At 40.3% G+C, this 16,430-nt stretch overlaps 1 protein-coding gene and 1 pseudogene across 4 annotated transcripts in view, besides 2 other annotated features; both read right to left on the bottom strand.

Annotated features, from left to right (window-relative positions):
* The window catches only part of GCNT1 (glucosaminyl (N-acetyl) transferase 1), a 113,548-nt gene that overhangs the window by 84,799 nt on the left and 12,319 nt on the right, over nt 1–16,430 (bottom strand). The window lies entirely within an intron of this gene.
* Nucleotides 1,987–2,684, bottom strand: H3P32 (H3 histone pseudogene 32; annotated as a pseudogene).
* Nucleotides 4,752–5,333: an enhancer, noted in NCBI's record as "OCT4-NANOG hESC enhancer chr9:79032201-79032782 (GRCh37/hg19 assembly coordinates)". NCBI's record gives its function as "activates a minimal SCP1, AML or CMV promoter by ChIP-STARR-seq in primed H9 embryonic stem cells {active_cell/tissue: H9 hESC(primed)}" and the evidence as "EXISTENCE:reporter gene assay evidence [ECO:0000049][PMID:30033119]".
* Nucleotides 13,837–13,886: an enhancer, noted in NCBI's record as "active region_28472". NCBI's record gives its function as "activates an Ori minimal core promoter by ATAC-STARR-seq in GM12878 lymphoblastoid cells {active_cell/tissue: GM12878}" and the evidence as "EXISTENCE:reporter gene assay evidence [ECO:0000049][PMID:35858748]".

Raw genomic sequence — 16,430 nt, 5'->3', positions numbered from 1 at the left:
GAGCCATAATCACACCACTGCACTCAAGCTTGGGTGATAGAGCAAAACCCTGTCTCAAAAAAACCAAAACAAAATGAAAACAAAAAACACCAGAATGGTTGTATAGGTACTCAAAGTATGGTTTCTACTGAATGCATATCATTGTTCCACCATAATAAAGCCAAAAAATTATAAATAAAATTAACATAAATCAAGAACTATCTATCTGCATAGTGAATGGATGAAATATACCGTAGATTAAGATGCTACTGCTGAGTGCCGTGGTTCACACCTGTAATCCTGGCACTTTGGGAGGCCGAGGCGGGTGGATCTCTTGAGCTCAGGAGTTCGAGACCATCTTGGGCAACATGGCTGATATGGTGTGGCTGTGTTCCCACTCATATTTCATCTTGAATTTTAATTCCCATAATCTCCATGTGTCGTGAGAGGGACCCGGTGGGAGGTATTAATAATTGAATCATGGGGGTGGTTTCTCCCATGCTGTTCTCATGACAGTGAGTGAGTTCTCATGAAATCTGATGGTTTTATAAGCTTCTGCTGTTTCCCCTTCTTGCACTCATTCTCTCTCCTGCTGCCCTGTGAAGAGGTGTCATCCACCATGATTGTAAGTTTCCTGAGGCCTCCCCAGCCATGCAGAACTGTGGGTCAATTAAACCTCTTTTCTTTATAAATTACCCAGTCCTGGATATTTCTTCATAGCAGCCTAAGAATGAACTAACATAACGGTAAAACCCTGGCTCTACAAAAAACACAAAAATTAGTCGGGTGTGGTGGCTTGCATGTGTAGTCCCAGCTACTTGGGAGGCTGAGGAAGGAGAATTGTTTGAGCCCAGGAGGTGGAGGCTGCAGACAGCTGTGATTGAGCCATTGCACTTCACCCTGGATGACAAAGTGAGACCATTTCCAAAAAAAAAAAAAAAAAAAAAAACAACCTACAAACAAATTGAGTTGCCATCAATAAGACATTAAATTGTGTGGGTTGTTTTTTGTTGTGGTTTTTTTTTTTTTTTTTTTTTTGAGACAGGGCCTTGCTCTCTCATCCAGGCTGGAGGGCAATGGCTCCATCTCGGCTCACTCAGCCTCCCTCCTGGGTTCAAGCAATTATCGTGCCTCAGCCTCCCTAGTAGCTGGGACTACAGGCACACACCACCATGGTCAGCTAATTTTTGTATTTTTTTTAAATAGAGATGGGGTTTTACAATGTTGGCCAGGCTGGTCTTAAACTCCTGACCTCGTGTGATCTGCCCGACTTGGCCTCCGAAAATGCTAGGATTACAGGTGTGAGCCACTGTGCCCAGCCAACATTTACTTATTTGTAAAAATCCAAATGCTGGCATTGTCCAGGAAAATCTAACAAGTTTATTTATAATTGTTATAAAGGTGAATTGCTGACACTTGTTTAATAAAACATTTTGATTTGCCTCAGTGCTTTATATTTCCACATTCATATTAACAATTCGCACACAAGTGAAAATGGTAAAACTGTCAATATCTGATTTCTATCCCCTATTTTTCCACTTGCATTTATATACTTAGGTACTTTTTGACCCCATGAGGAAAAAATATCAAACATTCAGAACCACCACTAACAGGAAGATGAGAGGATTTTTCATTTGTTTGTTTTGAGAATGAAATGTTTCCTTTCATAGTGGATTCTTTTTTTTTTTTTTTTTCCTTTTGAGATAGGGTCTTGTTCTGTCACCCAGGCTGGAGTGCAGTGGTGTGATTTTAGCTCACTGCAATCTTGAACTTCTGGCCTCAAGCCATCCTCCTGCCTCAGCCTCCCAAGTACCTGGGACCACAGCTGCATGCCACCAAGCCTGGCTATTTTTTTAAAATTATTTTTAGTAGAGAAGAGGTCTTGCTATGTTGCTCAGGCTGATCTTAAACTCCTGAGCTCAATTGATCCTCCTGGCTCCGCCTCCCAAAGTGCTGGGATTACAGGTGTGAGCCACCACACTCAGCCATAGTAGATTCTTAAACATATTCTCAATCTATGTAGCATGCTAGCTGGATGTCTTTAGTCATAACTGTTATACTTTGGGCTGGGTGTGGTGGCTTGTGCCTGCAATCCCAGCTAAATGGGAGGCTGAGCCTGGAGAATTGCTTGAGCCCAGGAGTTCAAGGCCAGACTGGGCAACATAGCAAGACCCCTCTCTCTAAATAATTTATTTTAATTAGCCAGGCCTGGTAGTGTGTGTCTGTAATCCCGGCTTCTCGGGAGGCTAAGGGAGGAGGATTACTTGGCCCAGGAGTTCAAGGCTGCAGTGAGCTATGATCACGCCACTGCACTCCAGCTTGGGTGACAGAGCAAAGCCTTGTCTCTAAAAATATAAATAGAAATGAAATATAAAAACAAACAAAAAACACTGTTACACATTTGATACAGAGAGCACCCAGGGTGGAAGTCCCACATGATAGACCACACTTGCTTCCTACAATAGACCTCACTTGCTTCCAATAGCTGTGCTCTGGCAACACAAATCTGTTTTGAAGTCCTAAGCAATTTCTAATATCAGGTACTGGAATGAAAGTTTGCAAATCAGAAATTTGGTGGACTTTTGATAACATCTAATTTCATGGAGTGCCACAGTATCAAGCCTGTAATGCTAAGGTTTCTTCATTTCTCCAGTAGAGGGTGCACTCTTGGGAAAGGCATTTGTAGCCAGATGTTTTCCGGGTGCCAGCTTTGTAGGAGCCATGGTAAGTAGGAGACACCTCCTGACTTACCTTCCTTCTTTGGCTGGAGCTCAGCAAGATAGAGGTGCTGGTGTTAGAGAGTAGCAACTGTGTGGTGGCTGCTCAACTTATTTAGTAAATGTTATTTTTAGACAGTACATTTTATGTCAGGATTCAATTCTGTTAAGTCACAATGTAGCAGTATGATCTCCACCACTGCTCCAGATGGAAACATTGCTTTACATTTTTTCTTTCCCTTTCTCTTTCTTTTTTATTTTTTTGACACAGGGTCTCAATTTGTCCCCCAGGCTGGAGTGTAGTCGCATGATATTGGCTCACTGCAGCCTAGACATCTTGGGCTCAAGGGATCCTCTCACCTCAACCTCCTGAGTAGTTGGGACTACAGCCACACCCCATGCCTGGCTAATTTTCGTAGAGACGGGGGTCTCGCCATGGTGCTCAGGTGGTCTTGAACCCCTGGGGTCAAGCGATTCTCCCGCCTTGGCCTCCCAAAGTGCTGGAATTACAAACATGACCCACTACGCCCAGCTTACACTTTAAACTATTTATTTTCCATTTATTTTACCAACCAATATGTATTTAGTAACAACCCTGTGCCAGACATGGTATTAGCTCTGGTGACACAGTAATGAAGATGGACAAAGTCTGTTGTCATGGAGTGTATATTCTGGAGGGGGATTGTGACAGCCAATAATCATGTAAATAAGATGGTGATGATTGGGATGGGGGCTATAAGGGATTAAGCACTGAGAATCGAAAGAAAGAATGACTGTTGATGTTATACAGATTATGCAGCCATAGAGGAGGCAATGTTGGGACTCAGAAAAGTGATACCCCAAAATATGGTGTTTTGGTATACTGAACTAAAAGAAGCAGCCTCGAGGTCTCTCTGACACCCCCCTCCAGCCTCCACTAACATTTTGTCTCTCCCAAGGCACAGGATGAGGCTCTTCTCTGATATTCCTTTATCACCTTTAAGACTGGACCCACAAAGAAAACACAATTGCCTTCCATCCCCTCTCCGAAATCTCATTACCTATCACAGAAAAGAAGACTGAGTAATGTAACCACACCTGGATGAATTTTTTCACAAAACAATGTCTGCCTTTCAGGCTCATTCAAATTCTAAAGAGAATAACTTACAGATTAATTCCTGTCTCCCAGGTTCATTCATTTCCCCTAAAAATCATTTGCTGCCCCTCAAAATTGTTACACCCTCAACTCCCCTTCCCCTGTGAACAAGAGTATGTAAGCAACTGGACCTCATTTGGGTTATTGGGTAATCCTACCCCTGCAATTCCCTCATGTTTATGCATGTTAAATAAATTTTGTATGCCTTTTTCTGCTTTTTAATCTGCCTTTTGTCAGTTCATTTTGTAAACCACAAATAAAATTCTAAGGCCCACCAACCAACCGTCTGAATAGACCCCCTCCTCTCAGCCAGGGCACTCCAACATTAACCTGAAAACCTGGTGCAAGCCATGATGGGAAGAGAGGGTGGGACATGCCTCATTATACCCTCCTCCCTTTTGGAATTCAGAAAAAGTTGACCAGCATGTACAATCAACACAGACTTTAAGTCTAGTAAGAAACACTTACAATCTGTTTTCTCCAAAGTCTGTTACCTGGAGGCTTTCTCAGCATGATAAAACTTTGGTTTCCACAACCTCTTATTGTAACCCAAATATTCCTTTCTATTGATAGTAGTTCTTTCAACCAATTGCCAATCTAAAATATTTTAAATGTACCTATAACCTGGAACCCCTCCTCCCCTCTCTGCCCACTTGGAGTTGTCCCACCTTTCTGGACTGAACCAATGTATACCTTACGTGTATTTGATTGATGTCTCATGTCTCCCTAAAATGTATAAAACTAGGCTGTACCCCGACCACCTTGGGCACATGTTCTCAGGGTCTTCTGAGGGCTGTGTCATGGGCTATGGTCACTTCTATTTGGCTCAGAATAAATCTCTTAAATATTTTACAAAGTTTCACTCTTTTCATCAACAATTTTCAACAAACCCTTAACAGGATGACGGACGCTTTCCCTTGGCCCCTCTACAATCATACAGGTGGGTGATGTGTGAGCTTTGCCATGATCTTACTGGGGTGCTATGAGTTGCTGAGAAATTACTGAAGAAATTAATGGCCTACAAAAGTGATATGAAAATTATTTTAAACTGAAAATGCCTGTACAACCAGCAGCTACAGAAATAAACATTATCCAAACTTAAGCAGGGCCTCCTGAAAATACAGATGCCTTTGGCTCCCCCACCCACCAAAGGAGTTTCCTGTTGGGAGAATACTGAAGTGTGAATTCAGCTAGCTATTAACATCAGAAAAGCCAACAGTACCTTTCATTCTTCCCCTTTGAAGTTTTAACTCCTCCCTGTTTTGTTCAGTTGACGTAAAAACATTTACCTCTGGCTTCTTATCCAGTTACTCCTTACTGAGTAATGAGTGCATGTATAAATAATTCTTGTTCTGTTCATCCATCTATTGTCAGTTAATCTTCAGGCCCCCAAGCAATTGAAACTAGTGGGTAGAGGAAAATTTTCCTTCCAACACTACATTGTGATACATACTCAGGTGGGTAAAAAAAGACTAGGGCACATTTTGTTGAATATTTGTCAACTTCATTTACTGCGGAGATGGCATTTTTATGTCCATAACCTCTGAATTATAATTTTGAAGAAGGCACTGAGGTAGGATTACATTTATTTCACCCATAGTTATTAAAGCAAATAATTTCATGAGCTTCATAAATAACTATAAACTATTTCAAAGAAAACATTTCTTAACTCATTGTTTAGATTTAAGGCAGATAAGTGACACATTTTTTATCATATCTTCTTTTTTTCTGAGACAGAGTCTGGCTCTGTCACCCAGGCTGGAGTGTGGCACAATCTTGGCTCACTGCAACCTCCATCTCCCAGGTTCAAATGATTCTCCTGCCTTAGCCTCCCAAGTAGCTGAGATTACAGGTGCCCACCACCACACCCAGCTAATTTTTTGTATTTTTAGTAGAGACAGGGTTTCACCATGATGGCCAGGCTGGTCTTGAACTCCTGACTTCAAGTGATCCACCCGCCTCAGCCTCTCAAAGCGCTGGGATGACAGGCGTGAGCCACTGCACCCAGCCAGATCATATCTTCTTAATTCCTAAGTATCACAAAAAAGCTTTTTCATCTTATTCAAAACTTAAAATTAAAAGAAGAATTTATGCCATAGTGTTAGTTAAATACGTAGTGAGACTGGAGAGTTCCCTGGATCCCTTCGTGGGACTTGCAACAGGGGTGTGGTTCGCTTACTCAGCCCCCCACTCAAACCCCTTGCAGGAGGGGGAGCGTGCAGGCAAGCAGGTGCCAAGGCTGGGGCAAGCACTTCTGGGCTCTGGCCCTATGGCAGCATCTAGGGGTGTGTTACAATTAATGCTCTTTTAGCAGTTGCCATTCATGGATGGCTAAGTGTTAACTGGCTCAGAGGAGAGTCAGCACGACAGCATTTTACTCTCTGCCCTCTTGGTATCCTGGTCCTTGTCTGGCATCCAGGAAGAATCAGGTCACATGGACTTGAAGGATGGTGAATGCAGAGGTTTTACTGAGTGAAGGAGGTGGCTCTTAGTGGGATGGGCAGCTGGAAAGGGGATGGAGTGGGAAGATAATCTTCCCCCTGGAGTTCAGCCGTCCCTGGCCAAACTCATCTCGACAGTCAGATGCTTCTTCTCTTCTTTCCTTCTCTGCCATGACACTCTGCTTGTCTGTAAGTGGAATTTGAGGTTTTTATGGGTATGGGATGGGGGGTATGATGGGCCAGGGCAGTTTTGGAAAAAGCAACATTGGAGTGGGAAAACAGGGATGTGAAGTTCTCATTTAGGGCTGTGGGCCCAGGCTTGTGGGTAGGGCCTTTGCCAGGGAACTGCCCTCTTCTATTCAGTATTTCCCTGCCTCCTGTCCATATCAATAATAGTTGGCTGCTGCTTCAGCCCCTGTGATTACCAGGAAGCATGAGAGCAATCTTGGCAGTGGAACAAAAAAACATTGAATAATGATTTGTGGGCACACCATACAAAATCACAATGGAAAGACAAACAGGAAGTCTCAGGGTTTTGGGTTTTTCTTGTGTTTTCTGGGGATAGAGGGGGCCCAAGCATTGTGTAATTAGTTGTCAATAACTTTCTTTGTGAATTCTACATGTGGAAGATCTGTTTCACATGTGCTTTGGCATTGAATAATTATTTTATTGATGCTTTGTTAAAACAAAGATAGAATCCCATTTTATATCTGGTTATGTAAATAGAAAACTGTACACACTGCTCTACTCTTGCTTTTCATGGGAGGGGAAATGGCTTCCCTCTACCCTTCTAGGTTCTTTGGCTAGGCCATGAATTAAATTGACAGATGATAAATTAACAAGAGAAAAATCATCTTAATTACATATGTATGCATAGGACTCTGACAAATATGTGAGACTTAATTCCAGCTTCCACTAGCCATCCTGTCCCACCTAAGGTGGGGGGAAAAATCCAAGGGGCAGAGACAGTATGTGAAGTTCACCGTCAAGGTCAGGTGTGGTGACTCATGCCTGTAATCCCAATACTTACCAAGACTGAGACAAGTGGATTGCTTGAGCCCAGGAATTCAAGACCAGCCTGAGCAACATGGTGAAACTCTGTCTCCACAAGAAATACAAAAATTAGCCAGGTATGTGGTGCGTGCCTGTAGCCCCAGCTACACAGGAGGCTGAGGTGGAAGTATCACCTGAGCCTAGGAAATCAAGGTACAGTAAGACATGATCGTGTCACTGCACTCCAGCCTGGGCAACAGAATGAGACTCTGTCTCAAGGAAAAAAAAAAGTTCACAGCTAAAGGGCACATAAAGGCTTACTAAATGCCTAAGACCTAATTATAGTGCCAGAGGCATTTAAAGGAGAGCAACTCCATCTTGAATAGGAGCTACGTAAAATAAAGCCCAGACCTGCTTGGCTGCCATCCCAGGAGGTTAGGCATTCTTATTCACAGGATAAGACTGGAGGTGAACAGGACTGGTATCACACGTCAGAGGTTGTAAAGACCCTACTGATGAAACAGGATGTGGTAAAGAAGCCAGCCAAAACTCACCGAAACCAAGATGGAGATGAAAGTGACCTCTGGTTGTCCTCACTTCTCATTATATGTTCGTTATAATGCATTAGCATGCTAAAAGACACTCCCACTAGCACCATGACAGTTTACAAATGCCATGGCAACTTCTGGAAATCACCCTACATGTTCTAAAAAGGCGAGGGACCCTCAGTTTCTGAAACTCTTCATCCTTTTTCTGGAAAACTCATGAATAATCTACCCCTTGTTTATCATCTAATCAAGAAATAACCATAAAAATAGTCAACCAGCAGCCCCCTGGTTGCTCTGCCTATGGAATAGCCATTCTTTTGTTTCATTACTTCTCTATAAACTTGCTTTTTACTTTACTCTGTGGACCACCCTGAATTATTTCTTGCATGACATCTAAGAACCCTCTCTTGGGGTCTGGACTGGGACTGCTTTCTGGTAACGATAGGACCATAGAATGCTTCTCCTCCCCTCAAATCTTACCAGCACATCGCTAAAGGTGTACTTTTTGTTGTTTTGTTGAAAGGTGTCATTCAGCAAAAAATGACAAGGCACACTAAAAGGCAAAACAGAATTTGAAGAGACTGAGGATGCATCAGAATCAGACTAGATATGGCAGTGATGTTGATATTACCAGATTGTGAATTTAAAACAACTATGATTAACATAGTAAAGGCTCTAATTGAGAAAGTAGGCAGAATTCAAGAACAGATGGTCAATATAAGCAGAAAGATGGAAATTCTAAGTAAGAATCAAAGACAAATATTAGAAATCAAAAACATTGTAACAGAACTGAAGAATGCCTTTGATGGGCTTATTAGTAGATTGCACATGGCTGAGGAAAAAATCACTGATCTTGAGAATGTGTCAATAGAACCTTCCAAAACTGAAAAGCAAAGAGAAACAAAAAAGACTGGACAAAAAAACCCAGAATATCCAAGAACTGTGAGACAAGTACAAAAGGTGTAGCATACATGTTATGGGAATTCCAGAAGGAGAAGAAAGACAGAAAAGTATAGAAAAAATATTTTAAGCAATAAAGACTGAGACTTTCCACAAATTAATGTCAGACATCAAACTACATATGCTGGAAGCTCAGAGTACATCCAGCAGGATAAATGCCAAAAAAAAAAAAAAAACAAAAAAAAAAAAAACAAAACAAAACAAAAAAAACCCTAGGCATATCATATGCAAACTGCCAAAAATCAAAGACAAAGAAATATCTTGAAAGAAGCCACAGGAAAAAACACTTTACCTATAGAGGAGAAACATAAAATTTACAACCAACTTCTCTTCAGAAACCACACAAGCAAGAAGAGTGTTCTATTTTTCTGTAATTTCATCTTAAGGTCTCTTTCTGGAGAATGGCAGTAAACTCCTGTCCTCTCTCACATGGCTCCAGGAGATTTGGTTGTGAATATTTACAATGTTTCTTTCATGAGATACTTCTTTAGCCTGACAAACAGCTGGATGTCTAAGTGTCTGACCTGTGACCAGGTGTCCCACTCACAGGAAACTTGTTTATAGTGACAGATATCCTTATGGCTCTTGTCTGACCTGTGTCCAGTTTATTTCTACCAAGATAGCCATTCTTCAGAAAAGCCCTGGCCAGGAAAGAAGTTAGGTTTAGATGTGTCATTCAGCTGAGACACAAAGAAAGTAATTCAAACAAAACATGAAATAACACAAGCAGTATATTACTTTCAGATCCCAGAGAGAAGACAGCAGCATGCCCCATGGGGCCAACAGGAAGTAGGGAGCTATTTGGGACGTGTACACTCAATCAGCAGGCAAGGAGCAAGAGAGAGAATGAGGAACCCATGGGCTGAAGACTTTATTGGGGTCTAGGGCATTATCCAGGCAGGTTTCCCTTGGGAAGTTCTAATTAGTGGGTTTAGAGGAAGTAGATACAAGTACATGAAATCATGCTGTGACTGAGAAGTGGTCACTGTGGCATATCTGCACAATCAGTGCAGTAGGGGGTTCAGCAAGGTGAGTCAAGTAGGTTGTATCTAGCTGTCTGATAGGGAGGTGGTCACCAGGAAGCAGTCGTATAAAGCAGATATCTGGATCAACCCCACTGAGGAACTGGGATGAAGTAGAGAACCAGAAGCTGTGTCAAGGGTGACTAAGCCCTGTTTCCAATATGAGAAAATTAAACCTGTGTTCAAAATGGATGCTGAGGCAACATAAAATTGTAAGAAATCACTACAAAGAGAGTGAAGTGAAATATTTAAAGTGGTGAGAGAAAAAAACTCCCAACTAGAATTGTGTATCCTGTGAAATTCTTCTTCAAAAGTGAAGTAGAAATAAAGACTTTCTGAGACCAACAAACACTAAGGAAATTTGTTGCTAGTAGATCTGCCTTGTAAGAAATATTAAGGAAATTCTTCACATAGAAGAAAAATAATGTAGGTCAGAAATGTGGATCTACATAGGGAAAGATAGAGTATCAGAGAAGAATAAGTTAAGGTAAATAAAAACTTAAAAAATTTTTAATTGGTCTAACATAACATTTTGTTTCAAATAATAATGGCAAAATGTATTTGATTGGGTGTATATACATACACTTATGCTTATGTATGCTTCTGCTCACTAAGAAAATATAAGCATTCATTAAGTGAAATGCACTACACAATAATACCAGAGACAGGAGGGAAGACTTAAAAATATTTTGTTATTATAAAGTACTTGCACTACCTATAAAGCAGTATAGTGTTAATTGAAAGTGGACTTCAGTTAGTTGTAAATGTATATTGCAAACTGTATAGCAACCAAAAAATTATTTTTTAAAAGAAGCATAATTGGCCAGGCATGGTGGCTCATGCCTGTAATCCCAGCACTTTGGGAGGTCAAAGCGGGCAGATCACTGGAGGCCAGGAGTTTGAGAACAGCCTGGCCAACATGGTGAAACCTTGTCTCTACTAAAAATACAAAAATTAGCTGGGTGTGGAGGCATATGCCTGTAGTCCCAGCTACTCAGGAAGCTGAGGTAGGAGAATCGCTTTAACCCGGGAGGTGGAGGTTGCAGTGAGCCAAGATCATGCCACTGCACTCCAGCCTGGGCCACAGAGCAAGACTCTGTTAAAAAAAAAAAAAAAAAAAAAAAAGTATAATTGATGTGTTAAAAAAGGAGAGAAAATGAAATCATATAAAATGCTCAAGTAAAATCACAAATGGGCTGAGTGCATTGGGTCACACTTATAATCCCAGCACTTTGGGAGGCTGAGGCAGGTGGATGGCTTGAGCCCAGGATTTCAAGACCAGCCTGGGCAACATAGTGAGATACTATCTCTACAAAAAATACAAAAATTAGCCAGGCATGGTGGCATACATGTGTAGTTTCAGCTATGTGGAAGGCTGAGGCAGGAGGATCACTTGAGCTCAGGAGGTTAAGGCTGCAGTGAGCCATGATCATGCCACTGCACTCCAGCCTGGGCAACAGAGTGTGACCCTGTCTCAAAAAATAATAATAAAAAATTTCAAAAACAAACAAAAAAAACCCCCAAAATGGCAGGGAAAAAGTGGAAGTCAAAAACAGGAACAAGGAATAAAGACAATGAATAGAAAAGAGTGACAAATATTGTAAATATTCATCCATTTATATCAATAATCACTTTAATATCAATGGTCTAAATATACCAATTAAAATACAGAGATTGTCAGAGTGGATTAAAAAACAAGACTCAACTATATGTTGTCTATGTAGAAACCCACATTAAATGTAAAGACATATATAGATTAAAAGTAAAGGGATGGAGAAAGATATTCCATGCTAACACTAATCAAAAGGGAGTGGGAGCAGCTATATTTATTTCTAACAGAGCAGACATCAGAGTAAGGAAAATGATCAGGGATAAAGCATGGCATTATATAATGGATAAAGGGCTCAATTTTCAAGAAGACATAACAATCCATAGTGTATATGTGCCTAACAACAAAGTTGTAAAATATGTGGGGCAAAAACTGATAGGAATACAATGAGAAACAGATGAATCCACTGTTATACTTGGAGACTACAGTATCTCTCTAACAGAACTCAACAGCACCATCAATGGGGTATAATTGACATTTCTAGACTGCTTTACCCAACAACAGCAGAATACACATTCTTCTCAGACTCAAATGGAACAAGATAGATAACATTCTGGGTCCTAAAACACACCTTAAAAAATGTTATTAGTTTTTTATTTTTTTAAACTTTTTTTATTATTTAAAAATAGAGACAAGGTCTTGCTATGTTGCCCAGGCTAGTCTTGAACTCCTGGGCTGAAATAATCTGCCTGCCTTGGCCTCCCATAGTGCTGGGATGACACGCCTGAGCCACCGCACCCAGCCTTAACAAATTTTATTTTAATTAATTAATTAATGTTTTTGAAGAGAGTTTTGTTCTTGTCACCCAGACTGGAATGTAATGGCACAATCTCAGCTGACTGCAACCTCTGCCTCCTGGGTTCAAGCGATTCTCCTGCCTCAGCCTCCAGAGTACCTGGGATTACAGATGCCTGCCACCATGACAAGCTAATTTTAGTATTTTTAGTAGAGATGGGGTTTCATCATGTCGGTCAGGCTGGTCTCCAACTCCTGACCTCTGGTGATCCACCCACCTCGGCCTTCCAAAGTGCTGAGATTACAGGCATGAGCCACCGTGCCCAGCCCAAATTTTAAATATTATAAATCATCCAATATATTATTTCAGGTCACAGTGGAATTAAACTAGAAACCAGTAACAGAAAGATAGCTAGAAAATCCCAAAATACTTGGAAATTAAACCATACTCTAAATAACACATTGGTCAAAGAAGAAATCTCAAGAAAAATTTTAAAATATTTTGAAGTAAATTAAAATAAAACCACAACTTATCAAAATTTGTGGATGCAGTGAAAATAGTACTTAGAGGGAAATTTAGGGCATTGAATGCATATATTGGATAGGAAAAAATATCTAAAATCAGTCATCTAAGCTTCCACTTTAAGAAACTAGAAAAAAAAAGGGCAAATTAAATCCCAAGCAAGCAAAAGAAAAGAAATAATAAAAATTAGACCAGAAATCAATAAAAATCAGCCAGATGCGGTGGCTCATGCCTGCAATTCCAGCACTTTGGGAGGTCGAGGCAGGTGGATCACCTGAGGTCAGCAGTTCGAGACCAGCCTGGGCAACGTGGTGAAACTCCGTCTCTACTAAAAACACAAAAATTAGCAGGCCATGGTGGCACCCGCCTGTAATCCCAGCTACTCAGGAGGCTGAGGCACGAGAATCACTTGAACCCAGGAGGCAGAGTTTGCAGTGAGCCAAGATTGCACCACCACACTCTGGGCTGGGTGATACAGCAACACTCTGTTCACCTCCCCACAGTCCAAAAAAGAAATCAATAAAAATAAAAACAGAAAATCAATAGAGAAAATAAATGAAACCAGATGCAGTTTCTTTGATAAAATCAATAAGCCTCTAGCCAGGCTAACCAAGAAAAAAAGAGAGACACACACACAACTTAATAACATCAGAAATAAGAGAGGGGACATCACTACAAATGCTGGGAGCACTATAAGAATCATAAAGAAATATGAAACTCTCTATGTCTACAAATCTTATAATTTAAGTAAAATAGACTAATTCCTTAAAGACACGTTCGCCAAAACTCATGCAGAAGAAATATACATTCTGAATAAGTCTATATTTATTAAAGAAATTGAACAATTATAACCTTCGAAAACAAAAAACACCAGGCCCAGATAAATTCACCAGTGAATTCTTCTAAATATTTAAGAAAGAAATCATACTAATTTTCTATAATCTCTTTCAGAAAATAGAAGTAAAGAGGCCAGGCATGGTGGCCCACACCTGTAATCTCAGCACTTTTGGAGGCTGAGGTGCGTGGATCACTTCAGGTCAGGAGTTTAAGACCAGCCTGGCTAACATGGTGAAACCCCGTCTCTACTAAAAATTACAAAAATTAGCTGGGTGTCATGGCACACTCCTGTAATCCCAGCTACTTGGGAGGCTGAGGCAGGAGAATTGCTTGAACCTGGGAGGCAGAGGCTGCAGTGAGCCAAGATTGTGCCACTCTACACTATAGCCTGGGTGACAGAGTGAGACTCCATCTAAAAAAAGAAGAAGAAGAAAAGAAAATAGAAGCGGAGGAAGTGGTTTCTAACTCATTCTATGAGACCAGCATTATCCTAATACCAAAACTAAAGATATTTCAAGAAAACTACAGACCAGTATCTCATGAATATAGATGTAAAAATTCTGAACAAAATATTAGCAAGTTAAATCCAACAATGTGTAAAAAGATCCTTTGAACTGAGGCTGCAAGAAAAAAAAATTATATACATGACCAAGGAAATTTATTCCAGGTATGTAAGCCTGGTTCAATGTTTGAAAATTAATGATTAATAATTCATCATTTCAACAGACTAAAAAAGAAAAAAACATGATCATATTAATAGGTGCAGAACAATTATTTGATAAAACCAATACCCATTCATGACAAAAACTCAGCAAATTAGGAATAAAAGGGAACTTCTTCAATAGAATAAAGAACATTTACAAAAACACCCCACAGCTAATGATGAAAAATTAGAAGCTTTCCCAGAGCAGGAGCAGGTCAAAGATTTCCCCTCTTACCACTCCCTTTTAAAATCATACTTGGAAGTCCTAACTAATGCAGTAAGGAAAGAAACAGAAATAAAAGGTATGCAGATTGAGAAGGAAGAAGTAAAGCTGTCTTTGTTTGCAGATGATCTGAACATTTACGTAGAAAATCCATAAGAATAAACCACCACAACAAAAGATTCCTGGAACTAATAAATAAGTATAGCAAGGTTGCAGGATACAAGATTAACACACAAAATTTGATTCCTTTCTGGTATATCAGCAATTAACCAGTGGAATTAGAAACTTAAAACATAATATCAATACCATTTATATTAACACCCCAAAATATGGAATACTTAGGTATGAATCTAACAAAATATGTACAAGATCTATATGAGAAAAACTACAAAACTCTGATGAAATAAATCAAAGAAGAACTAAATAAATGAAGAAGTATTCCATGTTCAAGGATTGGCAATTCAATATTGTTAAGATGTCCGTTCTTCTCAATGCGATCTATAGATTCAACAGAATACCAACCAAATTCCCAGCAAGTTATTTTGTGATATTGACAAACTGATTCTAAAGTTTATATGGAGACACAAAAGACCCAGAATAGCCAACATAATCATGCATGAGTGTTAGTCAGAGGACTGACACTACCTGACTTCACGATTTACTATAAAGCTACAGGATTTACTAAAAGTAATCAAGACATAGTAGTGTTGATGAAAAAGTGGACAAATAGATCAATAGAACAGAACAGAGAGGCAGATATAGAGCCAAATAAATATAGTGAATTTATGTTTCACAAAGGAGCAAAGGAGAAAATGGACAAGAGTGTTCAAGAAATGCTGCTGGAACAACTGGACATCTACATGCAGGAAAAAAAAAAGAATCTAGACATAGACTTTATACTCATGCCCAAAATTAGTTCAAAATGAGAAAAATAACTCTATTATAATATATAAATCCTATTTTAGAAATTTGAAGTGTAAATGCAGTGCAGTAGTGTGGCAATAGAGAACACTGACCCAGAAGCTAAAAAAAAAAAAATTAACTCAAAATGGATCATTTTGTAAAATGCAAAACTATAAAATTCCTAGAAGATAACATAGGAGAAAATCTAGATGACCTTGTGTATGGGAATGACTTTTTATTTTATTTTTTGAGATGGTGTCTTTCTCTGCTGCCCAGGCTGAAGTGCAATGGCACAATCTCAGCTCACTGCAACCTCTGCCTCTGGGGTTCAAATGATTCTGGTACCTCAGCCTCCTGAGTAGCTGGAATTACAGGCATGAGCCACCATGCCCGGCTAATTATTGTATTTTTAATAGAAACTGGATTTTGCCATGTTGGTCAGGATGGTCTCTAACTCCTGGCTTCAAGTGATTCACCTGGCTCAGCCTCCCAGAATGCTGGGGTTACAGTCATGAGCCACTGTGCCTGGCCAGAACTCTTAAAACTCTACAAGAAGAAAGTGAACAACCTGATGATTTTTTCCTTTTTTGAGATGGAGTCTCGCTCTGTTGCCCAGGCTGGAGTGCAGTGGCACAATCTCGACTCACTGCAACCTTCGCCTCCTGGGTTCAAGCAATTCTCCTGCCTCAGCCTCCTGAGTAGCTGGGACTACAGGTGCACGCCACCACACCCGTGAGCCACCACGCCTAGCCAATTTTTCTTTTTTCTTTCTTTCTTTTTTTTTTTTTTTTTTGAGACAGGGTCTTGCTCTGTTGCTTAGGCTGGAGTGCAGTGGCACAATCATGGCTCACTGTAGCCTTGATCTCCTAGGCTCAAGTGATCTTTCTACCTCAGCCTCCCAAGTAGCTGGAACTACAGGCACATATCACCCATGCCCAGCTAATTTTTAAAATATTTTTGTAGATAAAGGGTCTCACTATGTTGCCCAGGCTGTCTTGAACTCCTGGGCTCGAGCAATCCTCCCACCTTGGCCTCCCAAAGTGCTGAGATGAGCCACTGCATCTGGTCTGATGTTTTTAAATAAGCAAAAGACCTGAACAGA

Source organism: Homo sapiens, chromosome 9, assembly GCF_000001405.40.
Source record: "Homo sapiens chromosome 9, GRCh38.p14 Primary Assembly".
Lineage (NCBI taxonomy): Eukaryota > Metazoa > Chordata > Mammalia > Primates > Hominidae > Homo > Homo sapiens.
The sequence above is the reverse complement of the archived record's forward strand: the minus strand, read 5'-3'. Positions and strand labels throughout refer to the sequence as shown.